At 44.4% G+C, this 13,465-nt stretch overlaps 1 annotated feature.

Annotated features, from left to right (window-relative positions):
* Positions 1,718-1,807: an enhancer, noted in NCBI's record as "active region_1544". NCBI's record gives its function as "activates an Ori minimal core promoter by ATAC-STARR-seq in GM12878 lymphoblastoid cells {active_cell/tissue: GM12878}" and the evidence as "EXISTENCE:reporter gene assay evidence [ECO:0000049][PMID:35858748]".

The raw sequence follows: 13,465 nt of genomic DNA, 5'->3' as shown, positions 1-13,465 counted from the left end.
CATGTTTTAGATTGCTTCTGATTTTTTGCTAATACAAACCTGCTTTAAGGAACATTACTATTTACCTTTGGATAAATTCCCTTAAAAAAAACAAATTACTGTGCCAGATGTATAAGCCCATTTAAAGCTCTTGATACATATTGCCGATGCCCTGCAGAAAGTCTGTATCAATTTGCACTCCTGCCAGCTGGGTATGACAGTGCCCTTTTCACTGAAGCTTTGCCAAGCCATAGTCACTCTGTTATAACTCAGCTCAGGCAAACACTTCATGTCATTATTACTGTAATGCTTAGAAAGAAGAGGGCAAGAGCCACAGTGCTGGTAAGTGTGTGCGTGTGTGTGCATGCATGCACGTGTGCGTGTTTATAGGGGTGTTGTTCCAATGAAGATTTGCCAGAGCAGTTTGTAGGCCAGAAGTGGGAGGAGAAAGGTGACAATTAAAGCAACTTGAGCCTGTCAGGACTTTAACAGGGCACAGTTGGCACTTGGTAAGAGGACACAGGACACACTGCCTTATCTTTCTGTCATTCCATGATGTTAGACTTTCTGCCCAACAAGTTTCCAAAACCAGAGTTCCTTAGCTTTTGGTACCTCATGAGGGGGGCTTTTAAAGCCTTGGATAAATATAGGAAACAGATTTCTGTTCAGAGCCAGGGATAACCTCTTTTCAACTAATAAGTCCTATGAAATGAAATCCATTCTTCTGATCCTAAATCCCATCTAAAGTAATTTTCATAAAATTGAGGGCATATTTGAGTACAGTGCATCTTACTTGAATGAGGGAAAAAATATGGTTTCTAAGGGAAAGGGGAAAAAATCTTGTAATCAAATGTGAAGAAAACACTCCTTGGCCTCCCAAACCAGGTAGGGTCTCGTTCTAAAAGGCCCCAAAGCAAACGAACTGTGTGTCAACAGAATGACCATTGTGTGGCTCCCTTTTGCTGCTCTAGTCACTGATGCAACTACAAACCAGAGAGCATACAGATGCTCCTCCAGCATTGCCACGAGCACCAGTGGACATGTGAGCCTTAGAGAAATCCCAAGACCCTGAGTGTCACAGTGAGCTGAGAGGTGCACTACTAGAAAGCCAATGGGGTGGGAGGGATAACTGTAGACACATCATGGCCACCTCAGGGCTTCTGGAGAAAAAGAGGTACAGTTGGGTTTTGCAGCCATTAGAACTGAGGACTGGAAAGTCAGGGACCTAGACCCTTTTTCTGTCTCCCAATAGCGACTTATTTTTGTTTGCTCTCTCTCTCTCTTTCTTTCCACCCACCCCCAGTTTCCTCTGATTAATCGTCTTTCAAATGGTCCCCAAATAGCCACTTCAGCCCCTAAGTCAGCCTGAGTTTTCAGTTCCAAGATTCTCCATCAAATTGACAATACCCTCTGTGTCTCTCAACTTAAAATCCTGGAAGAGAGAAGCCGACTGGCCCAGAGCATTCTATGGATGACCCTGCCTCTAAGTCAAGTGACCACTCTGGTTCCTCAGTCACAGGCAGGGAACAGATGGGCCACATGACATATAGGGCTGTGGCTGTGAGTAAAGCTGTTATGGTCAATTACAGAGCTTTTGAAGGAGGAAAAGAATTTTACTTCCTCTTTTAAGATAGCCTCACATTGCCCATGAGACCAAACCAGAAGAAAGATGAGAAAGGAAAAGTTAGGGGCCAAGGCCCATTTCAGGTGCAGAGATAATGTGCATGTGAGGAGAAAGAGCTCTGGGTTTGAAGTCAGAGGACCTGGGTTCAAATCCTGCCTGGCCTACCTGGGAGTTGGCTCTGGCGCCAGGTATTTTACTTCTTGAGTCTCAGTTCCTTATCTGTGAAAGATTCTGCTGGCCCCTTACAGAAGGGTTGAGAATAAAATGCTGTCATCTACATGAAAGTGAATTTTAATTGCAAATCGTAACCTCTACTCAGCCCCCACCTCACTCTTCCTGTTATATGGCTTTGATCTTTCTGAGCTCTCCAGAGAAGCAGAATATGACAGGAATGACTTGTTCTGTATCAGAGTCTTTTTTACACTCTTAAAAATTATTGAGTACCCCAAGCTATTTATGTATGTCACAGTTATTTACTGTATTCAAAATGAAATTGAGGATTTAAAAATATGTATTTAGCAATTTATTGTAAGAAAAAATAAGCTCATTAGGTAGTCATATAAATATTTTTTTATTTAAAAATAACTATATTTTCCAAAGCTAAAATATCAAGTGAAAAGAGTGGTAGGTACTGTTTTACATTTTTACAACTCTCTTTAATGTCTGGCTTATTACATTCAATCTGTTAGGATATGTTGTTTTTGTTGAAGTATATGAAGAAAATCTGGCCTCCATACATGTATAGTAGGAGAAGAGAGAAGTATTTTAACAGCCTTCTCGGATAATTATGGATGTTCTTTGTTATCATACCTACCCCACAAGAAGTAGTTACTCTAAGATAAGTTGCAACGTAAAATCTAAAATCACATCAATGAACTTTTCATTCTGTAGTATATTAAAATTCATTAGCCTATCTTACATGTTTGCAATATCTTTTATCCATGCATTATTTTGTAACATGATTCATTGGTCATCTGGGAAATATTGGTTGAATGAGTTCTATAGATCATCCAAATATTGATGCGTTTCTTTATACAACATAAAAAAATTCTATTCATTAATTTCACTGCCAGTCTCATCAGAAAAGTCTTCAAGTACTGGGAAACTGTCAAACTTACAGTAGTAGATGCAAAGTTTTAAAAAAAATGTTAATTTTTGCTTGAAAGCTCAAATTCTATCATTGGCAACAAATACTGTCAGTTGGTTTCTTTGACATGACGGGCTCTCTTTGTTCATTTCAAAGAAAAATTCTGCCAAATACGTAAGTCTGAATAACCACATTTTGTCCATCAGTGATGCCTTTAAATAAAAATACTGTCCTATTTAAAAAACAAAACAAAACAAAACAAAACAAATGTGCTTCTTCAGCTCACAACTCAAACCCTTCCCACAGAGCTTTTCTTCAAGACAACCGCCACACCTGGGCATGCAGCAGAACTGCGTCATGCTCACTTTCCAGTTGTCACAGAGAATTATGTGGACTCCAGGTCATGATTAATAACATCAGTAATTCTTGCTACTTCATTAAGAACATTCTCAAGTGAAACTGGCCACTGTTTTATTATATGAGGCGGACACAGTGACGATGAGTGCAGGGTGGTGGCTGAGGTCGTGGTGGGAGACCTCAGTTTCCCCCAGCCCTGCTTTCCACATCTGTGCAAATGGCAACACAGTGAAAGGGGTAAACAACATCTTGGTATTATTATGAAAATAGTTTTGACCTCTAGGGCCTCCTGAAAGGGTCCTGAGGACCCTTGTAGATCCATAACTTAAACTTTAAGAACCACTGTTCTAGGGCGTTTAGGTTGAAAGAAATGACACATTTCATCATTTTCTAAACAAAACTGATTGTGGCTTGAGGAAATTGACTGTGCTTAGTTTTCTGGGATTCTCTCCCCCTCGCTTGGATCAGACAAGCTTGGCGTAGGAAACAGGTGAGGGCCTTGGTCCCTGACGGTGGTTGGTGTGGACTCTGCTCTTTGCCCTGGCCCTCCTGGTCCGTTCCAGGGCAGGCAGCTCTGCTGGTAGCTCCACCACCCCAGTGCCACGCTCAGCTGTGGGGCCTTCCCCAGATCCCCCAGGCTCTGATGCTTGGTGCCCTGTCTGCACAGACCCTTGTTCCTAGATGCCGCCTCCATGGGTGCTGCATTTGTGTTGGTTCAGGTCTTCATCACTCTGAAACCTGCAACTCCTCCTCTCTTCCTAGTTTCTATGTCTCCTAGATCAGGCCTTCCCCTTTTCAACACTGAAGTCCTAAGCCTTTAAAACCCTTCTCTTCCCTAGCGTCCTGGCTTATTCACCCAGTGGACCTAAACTAGAAGTCCATGGTTCACATACTGTGCACGAGTGACTACACATGTTTTTGTTTTTTAAAAATTTAAATTAATTGCGTAGACTTAGAAATCTGGATATTTACAGACAAATGTGATATCTGTCTTCTCTGGAAGCATCGGAAGGTCTGGCAGCCTTAAGCCTGCATTTTCACTTGGTGGCAATTGGCTGCAGGTGAGGATGCACACTGTTTTGTCAAAGACCCTACCACACCCTATCATCTTACAGCAGCCCAGTTTGCTCTCTGACTTACCTGTATGGCCCCATTAAGATTTGAATTTGTTATTCCTGTCCAGTCCTTTGAAGGACAAAGCCTTTTTCAGGTTTATACTCTCCCAGAGGGCAACTGTACACAAATTAGTATTTTAATTACTCTGTGATAGCCAAGAAGATAGGGGTAAGCCTACCTGACAAAACTTTATGAAAGGATTGCTGTGTTGTCTCAAGGCCAGTTTAGAAGTGGAGCTTCTGTAGTTGAAATGTGTAGGGGCTCAGAGTCCTGGCTTCTCTGTGGCTCTTGAGACACCTATATGGAACCCCTGGGGGGTCTACAGAGCACTGGGTAACAATCACAGATCTAATTTATGCAAAGCTCACAAGAGGAAATCAGGAGTCCTTAATTAGCCAGGTGTGGTGGTACACACCTGTAGTCCCAGCTACTTGGAAGGCTGAGGCAGGAGGATCACTTGAGCCCAGGAGTTTGAGGATTCAGTGAGCCATGGTTGCACCACTGCACTCCAGCCTGGGCAACAGAGCAAGGCCCTGTCTCTTAAAAAAATAAAATAAAAATTAAACTTAAAAAGGAGTTCTTGACTGACCTCAGCTAAAGATAAGGGTGTTAGCTAGCTGACAAAGCACTGTTGAGGAAGACCACAGCTTGATGCTTACAGGACAAGATGGGTTGAAAATAATTGCTGACTGCAGAGCTTTGCCTCACCAGCCGGGTGCCCAGGATAGATCCCCCCAACTCTCCCAAAGCATGCCCTTGTTTTAAGCCTCCTCAACACCAACAGTCATTCCCAGTGTATGGTGTTCTTATTCAGGTGGGGCTGGGGAGCCACTTTGGCCAGCTCCTCTTAGAGTGGAAGCAGGCCCTGTCTGGGGGGTTGTGTACTGTGTTCATGGTCTTGAGAAAACCCTGGCCCCAACCATGGTCTGTGCCTGGGTCAGGGCAGAGCTCAGGTCTCACCAATGCCATCAAGTCAAGGCAGCTTAGGGAAATGCGGGGCGGTGTGTGTGTGTGTGGGGTGTCGGGGAGTTCAAACAGCATCACTGTTCCTTTTCACCCTCCTTTTGTATAAAAAGATCAATCTCATGTCTAATTCATTTGAAAATTCTCCACTTCTCTGTGTGTGTTTTTGGTAAAAATAGAAGTCTCTGAGGATTTCAGGCTCCTGCTGAATTTTATGAGCAACTTTTCGAAGCTTGGTAACCAGGTTCTTCTAATCTTTTCTTGAGTGAATTAAGCACCAGTGGGAGGCTTGCTTTCCAGATGACTGGTTTGAATAAAAGACTTTCAGGCTTGGGGGTAGGAGGCTTTTAAGGTCATTTAATTAATCTGCAGACCACAGTAAAGCACCACTAAGAGAGTGGGCAAGTTGGCAGAAAGTTGGCCTTATGACCCCCAGCTCCCATCCCTGTCCCTCCCCTCCCCTCCTCTCCCCTCCCCTCTCCTCCCGTCTGCTCCCCTCCCCTCCCATCCCTCCTTCCTTTCTTCCACTTTCACTGCCCCTTTTCTGGTCCCAGCAATCACAGTCTCTGCAACAGTCTCCCAGTTCGCCTCCCAGCCTCTTGTTCTCTTCCTAGACAGAAAGTACTTTCCAAAAGACAAATATGATGATATTTCCTCTCTGCTTAAAACCTTTAGTGCTTCTCTGGTTCAAACACTTCTGTGATGTTAGAAGTTGCCTTTGATGGGAAGAGTGGGGTTGGTGATAGGAAAGGGCATGAGGAGGGCTCTTGCATAGCTGGCAATGTTCTATTCCTTACCTTGGGCAGTGGTTACATGGGGAGTCATATTGTGATAATTTATTGAGCCATGCGATTATGATGCATGCATTTTTCTGTATGCATGCTATACTAAAATAAAAAATTTTTAAGTTGGTTCAGTGCTTAACATCACCCTCCTGTGCTTTCCAAGGTGAGGGTGGGGAATGGCTTTGAATGCTGGGGAAAGGGACTGTTGGGATTCCTGAAGAGGCCACTGAATCTTGTGGCAGCTTTGATGCAGAAGTATCAGAATCGTGAGCCAATTTCAATGACTGCTGGTGTGGCAGACTTGTAGACTGTCTGATGTATGGTGCCATGGGACTGCAAGAGTGCTAAGATAATGATGATTCCAAGAAGCCTCTAGAATCCTTTCCAGAGGTTATGCTTTGGTCCTGAGAAGGAGAATTCATCTTGGCCTTGTTTCCATCCAAGAAAGGCTGTGTTTCAGATGCAGGTTGGTTAGGCATGGGCTTGGAGAACCTCTTAGCAGAGTGTGAGGTTGCTCTCTAGGAAAGCTGGCCTGAAATTTGTGTTCAGGGCTACAGGGGACAGGAGGCCACAGGACCTGGGAAAGATGCCAGTCCTTCCCCAGTGGCAGGCTGGAAAACTGTCCCTCAGAAGTGACCCTAATGGGTGTGTCAATAGAGGGACCTTGGAGGAAACAGTGGAGTGGGGTGGGAGGAGGGTGCTGGCTTCCCCCAGCTGGTCCCACAGAAGAGCTGAGGAAGTCTCAAGCTAAAGAAAGAATTGGTGTTCAGTGAGTTGTGGGAACAGGCAGAGAGGGAACGGCTCCCCTTGCCAACTGAGTCAGCAACTTACTGAACCTTTGCCATCATTGGACTTTTTGTTCTTTGCATTTTAGGGGAAAAAACCACTCTTGACAACCTGGGTCTATCTCTACTTAGCGCTTTGCACATCACGTTGACATTTACCTTCTCGTGAGTTGTCCTTCCTGGAGGCCTTGCTCGCCTTGATGGCAGAAATGGCCCTTTATGACATTGCACCCAACCCCAGCACAGCGTCTAGCACTTTGCAGTGTCAGTGAGTGTTTATAGAACAATCAGAGCTGCGCAGGCCATCAGAGGGAGTGCTCACAGGCTCCACAACCACCCTGAGGAACAGGACTTGTCTTCCATAAAATTGAGGGAAGTTTATTCAAGGCACATGGCTCATCGGTGGTTGAACTGTGGGTTAAACCTTGGTCTCTCACCAAAGCCCTTTTCTTGAATCTCTATGCTCTGCTGAGCCTCAGTTACACTATCATAGTTATTTCCTGCTCAGCAATCCTATGGGTTGCTGACTTTTTATTCAGGGCAACTTAATCCTCTCATCAGTGGATCCCAAATATTCCGAAGACCAGGTTCCCCACAAAGTGTACGAATCTCTCTGAGACCTGGCCTCTGCCTGCACCTCTGGTCCCATCTCTAGCCACATGGCATCCTGAACTTCATGTGTTAATCATGCTGAAATGCCTGTCACTGCTTGCATGAATTATGTTTCTTTGATGGGTTCCTCTGTCTAGAATTATAACTTTCCCATTACTGTTGGTCTGGATAATTAAAAATAGATATTATGATGTTTTTGACTGCAAGCAGAAGAAAACCTACCCTCAAATGGCATAAAGAGTATTCATCATCTCATGTGGTAAGAAATCCTGGCCAGGTGTGGTGGCTTATGCCTGTAATCCCAGCACTTTAGGAGGCCAGGGCGGGTGGATCACCTGAGATCAAGAGTTTGAGACCAGCCTGGCCAACATGGTGAAACCCTGTCTGTACTAAAAATACAAAAATTAGCTGGGTATGGTGGCATGTGCCTGTAATCCCAGCTACTCTGGAGGCTGAGGCAGGAGAATTGTTTGAACCTGGGAGGCGGAGGTTTCAGTGAGCTGAGATCCAGCCATTGCACTTCAGCCTGGGCAACAGAGCAAGACCCTGTCTCCGAAAAAAAAAAAAAAACAGAAATCCTGAGGGAGGAGGAGGCTGCCAGTGCAGGGTGCCAGCTCCTGTCTTCTGTGATTCTCTCTGCTCTGCCCAGCTAATTTTTGTATTTTTAGTAGAGACAGGGTTTCACCATGTTGGCCAGGCTGGTCTCAAACTCTTGATCTCAGGTGATCCGCCTGCCTTGGCCTCCCAAAGTGCTGGGATTACAGGCATAAGCCACCACGCCTGGCCAGGATTTCTTATTATGTGAGATTATAAATACTCCTGTCTAAATTGGTTTTCTCCTCAGGCTAGATCACTGCAGTGGTTTCAGGTCTCACATCCAGACACATCAACATCCTGCACAGGACAAAGATGGACTATTTCTTCCCAGAACCTTTAAACATATCACCTGTATGGCTCGCTGTCTGGGACCTGATTACAGAGCCACACTCAACCAAAGGCAGTGGTATAACTGAGCTTAGTTTAAACCAGTTGGGATGTACCCCAGGAGCTGGGAATTGGCGTATGCTGGGAAAAGTTGGGCCCCTGAAAGAGTGGGACTGTCTGCTAGGAAGGTCTCAGGGTTGGAGTGGATCTTAAGTGGTCTCCAGCCCAGCCTTCCTAAGGAAGTCTCCTCCAGCTAGCATTTTGGCCTCCTCACTGCCCTAATTCTCATTTGTCCAGCCTTTTCCCCCATTGCCCTTCCACACAGTGTCCCTCTCACCTGACTGTACCTGCTTGCTGTCCTTCCCACACACCTCGCCAATTCACTTGCTCTGGTGCACTGCTTGACCAGAAACACTGTCTTCTCTCTGACCAGTCCCCAAGTATTTTCTCTAGGAGGCCACGCCCCGATTAACCCCATCCCATGGGAGTCCCTCCCCTCATTCCACAATCCTCTATCCTGTGGAAGTCTCTCCATCTGGTGTATCTGCTGATGCTTTGCTTGCAGACTTCCCAAGTTCCTAAGTCACTTCTCCTGCATTTCACAGGTAAGTTTTTCTCCCAAACTTGTATGAGTTCCTAGACAAGGGTGATATTTTCTGATGTCTTCTCCCGCATTACACACACACACACACACACACACATTCTTTATCTCTTCTGATTTCCACAACCACCCTGAGAGGGTAGGTAGCCAATCAATGCCCCTCATTAACTAATGAGCCAGGGTGTCCTCAGCCTCCCCTCCTGCTCTTGTCCTTGCTCCTCTGAATGTTCTGAAGGTTGCTGAAAGGCACAGCTCCAGCACTGAGGGCCAGAAAATCTTAGAAACAATTGCTCTTTGGGGGCTAGGGTGTTACATCTCTAGGAATAATTTAAGCTCTGTCATGAACAAACCAGGCACTGTCACTCGGCCAGGATACAGCAGAAGGAAACCAGAACCCACGGAGCACCTACTCTGTGCCAAGGGCTGGTTCCCTGCTTTAGTGGCTTGTCCTTTCCAAGGGTGCATTTGCCAGGGCTGCCTCCTCTGCTCGTCCTTTTGCACCTCTGCCTGGAGGGGTTCTGCATACCCTGCACGACTAAGCTCAAATAGCACCCTTGGTGAAGCTTCACCTGAATCCCCCAGGAAAAGTTCATTTCCCACCTCCTCTGCTGTTACACTTCATGCAAACCTTTGTGCAGCCCTAGCCCAGCATAAGAGTGTTTCTTACTTACCTGCCTGCTTCTACTGGTGTGTGACATCCTTAAGCCCAGGCACCATTTTTTTTTCCTGAATCTTTGGGTTCCCTGAGGACAGTTCATGTCTGTCAGGTAACAGGAGCTCAATAATTTCATCCCTGTGGCATTAAATTAAATTTAATTGTTGCTTAGCACAGCAGAAAGCAAGATTATGAAAAAGTGAAGATGCAACTTAACAAATACAATGGTTCCTAAATATGTATTTCTCCCCTTTATTATGGCTTAGGGATAAAAGAATTATAAAAAGGGAAAGAGATAGAATAAGTGGGAATCGATAAGGTTTTTCTCCCTCTTGAAATGACCTGCGTATTTAGAGCAGAAACTTTTATATCCCATGGCCCAGCCTAGTACCTAGAGAAGAGGAAGAGATCCATAAATACTTGTTGAATGAATAAATGATACATGGGTCAGGTTGTACTTTGGGATTTAATTCTGAGCCTTGACTGGGGTAGGGTGTGAGGAACCTGGAATCTAAGGTGGGCTAGGGAAGCCCCCAGTAAGGGAATAATCACCTTTACCTATTTAACCATTTTGGCCAGGGCCTGCCTGCAACTCAGGCCTGCGGTTGATCAACCAGCCCCATCCTCCCTTTATCCCCTGCCCCCATCCCATCCTGGGCTCAGTGACTGCACGGTCCCATTTTAGGCCCTGGTCTGAGGCCTCAGGTCAAGTGGATGAGACCTGGTCCTCATGCATGCCAGCCCCCTGGCAAGATAATCATAAACCAAGAGAATAAATGATTTGATGAAATATATTCTAGCTTCCTACTTTGACAAACATGCCTCAGTAAAATATACAGTATGTACAAAACTACAGTTTCTACGTGACTGAAATTCAGCCAAATATCAAAGATGACTGGATTAAATTATTCTTACATGTGTCTTGGTGTTTGGTTGATGGGCCAGTGATGTTGGGGTGAGTAATGAAATAAATACACACATAATTCAGAAACTATTACATATTCATCCATAGATTTTAGTTTTCATGTTTTTATTTTAGCAAAATCATAAATTATATTGTTATATAATCAAGATATTCATGTCATATGTGTTCTATTGATGGTAATGATCTGGAGTTTAGAAAAATGTGATTGTATTCAAAATGTCCAAAGTTTTAACATATTTTTATCATAAAGTGTAGATTAAACTAAAGGTAAACTATATGAGTGTACATTTTTCATGTTTTAAAAAATGAATTTTCTTTGATTGTATTAAAATGTGCCTATTAAAAATGAGTGAAAACTTTTATGATTAATGGATGTGAAATTTTTAATCAAAATTATTTAAATAAAACTAAGTAAAATTCTAGTGTGTGAGATCCTTGTCATTGCCAGTGTGAAGAAGCAGCATCACTTTTCATGCACTTATGTCTATAAACATGTCTATGTCTAGTGGTTCTCAAAGGGTGGTTTTGCTTCCCAGGAGCATCGTCTGGGTACATCTTTGGTTGACACAACTTGCTTCTGGTATCTAGTGGATGGGGATGAGCGATGCTGCTAAACATTCTAGGTCAGCCCCACAACAAAAAAGTAACCAGTCTAAAATGTCAATAGTGCTAAGGTTGAGAAACCCCGGCTACACACACACACACACACACACACACACACACACACACACGGGTTTTATAAACTGTTTAATATTGCAAGAGGTTCCTTAACAAAGAAGTAACCAGTCTAAAATGTCAATAGTGCTAAGGTTGAGAAACCCCGGCTACACACACACACACACACACACACACACACACACACGGGTTTTATAAACTGTTTAATATTGCAAAAGGTTCCTTAACTGCTACAGAAATTGTTGTGAATTCTACACTAGTTTATGGGTAACTCCAGAATCACAAATGGGAACATGAAGAAAAGCAAGAAAATGGACATGCGATGTATACTGAATTTTGCAAGAATCAATTGCATTCTTGGCTATGTGAGAGGAAGAATTTAACATGTTAACATATTTGTCTTTTCTTTTACCCAAAAAGGGGAGGTGATCGGTCACCTCCCCTTCCCCAGCTGACACACATTCTGAAATAATGTCCATCTCCAACACTGGAAACACCACAACCCACAACTCTTCAGACACAGTCACCTTTGTTTCAAGGACATAAGAGATGTGGAGAAGCATTGTCCTGAGGCTGGAATGGTGTCATTTCCAAGACAGCGTGTTTAACGTTCTGCGTCATGCTGTACCAGAGTTGAGCAGCAGATCCTGAGAGACAGAGGTGCCCAGGTTTCCCTCCACACATAGAGTTGGTGTTATGGGGGTGGGGCTGTAAAGCGTGAGGCCCAGGGCCTTCTCTGGTTGGAGCAAAAGGCAGCATGCTAAGAGGCCCCATGTCCCACTGTCAACCTTGGGCTCTGAGCAGGAGCCCGGGAGAGCTGGGAGGCTGTTCATATCAGATCATTAGCAGTTTCCCAGCTCCTTTGCAGAACAGCATGCTGTTTGGCTGCCAAAATATTAGGATTGAAAGCAGCTGGCAAAAGTGTTCAGTGAGGAAGTGAGCCTGCTTGGAGAAGCAAAAGGAAAAATTCCTCTTAGTCTGTGACCTGAGGGGGAAACCTCGCTCTCAGACCCTCTTTGGGATGCTCTCAGTCAGCCAGGTGGGCATTCCCTTTGACCCCAGGCCACTGGGGCTCCTTTGAAGCAGGTGGGCTCTGGGCCCTGTGCTGAGCGCAGATCCCTTCTGGGGCAGTAGAACTGATGAGACTCTGTCACTGCCCTGCAGAAATTCATAGCCTAATAGTAAATTTATTCTCAGCATATGTTTAATGAGTTTGCAAAATAAAGAGAATTAGATGGAGAAAACCACTGCAACCTAACCTCAGTTGGTATTTCTAAAGAGGTAGGCCAAAGGGGTAATTCAATGGCAGCAACTGTGCAGGTGAGTGCTGAGAGGAGAGACTGAAGACAATGGGTTCACTAATACTTCATCCTTGTGTATGTTTATAAGCCCCTTCACACGAGTCTCAGTTGATCCTCACAGCAACCTTAGCACAGGTGGGTTTCATATTTCCATTTTACAGACAGGAAAATTACCTTTGAAGATGGAGTAACTTGCCTAAGGAGGCACAGCCAGTTAGGCGGCAGAACCAAGAGTGCAATTGGGTCTTTGAACTCTAAGAACAATGCACTTTCCAGTGACATCAGCGTTTCAGGGCCTGTGGACACCAACAGTTTCAGTTATTGTAAGCAGTCTGTGAATCCAAATGCACAGTAAGCACCATCTGTAGCCTCCATCACTAGATAAGTGACCATTTTCATGTAAGGAGGGCCTAGAATGTTTTGACACTGATACAGAGTTCTGCAGAAGAGTCTGGGAAGCACTGTATTGCCCCTTGTGGCATCAAAGATCTTCTGGCAGAGATGGGGCATGCTTTAGCACTGGGGACGCTGGCTACAAAAATTCCTCGGAGTGAGATCACTGGGACTGCATCACCAACATTTGGTTTATGTTTCATGGTGCGCAATAGACTTATGATTCAAAGAGAGAACCCTACACACAGTACACAGTAGGTGCTCAAAGATTTTATCAACTGACTAAGTGCTGGCTGAATCTGAGGAGAGGAGAAGCCAAGTGCCATGAGGAAAACCAGCCTCCCCATGGTGATTAGAGTGGGGAAATCAGCCATCGAATCCCCTTACCCATTAGGGAAAAAGGAATGGAAACAAACAGCAAAAGCATTTAGCACATTGTTAAACACTGGAAAGCTGTTGCTTTTGAAATAATAACAACCGTGCACTCTCATTAGAGGTTCTAATGGGAACAGAAAAGAAATGCTTACGGCTAATTTTCTTTCTGGGCCTGTAATTAGTGGCATATTTTTAAAGCACTGAGTAGGCTGTTGAGTCTTTTTCAATCACTGCTAGTTCATTCATTCATTCATTCATTCATTCATTCAGCAAATGTTCACTGAGTTCCTATTTTAGGCCAGGCACTG

The sequence above is a fragment of the Homo sapiens genome, chromosome 1 (assembly GCF_000001405.40).
Source record: "Homo sapiens chromosome 1, GRCh38.p14 Primary Assembly".
In the NCBI taxonomy this organism is placed as follows: Eukaryota; Metazoa; Chordata; class Mammalia; order Primates; family Hominidae; genus Homo; species Homo sapiens.
Note: the sequence above shows the minus strand (reverse complement) of the source record. Positions and strands in the feature narration are given on the sequence as shown.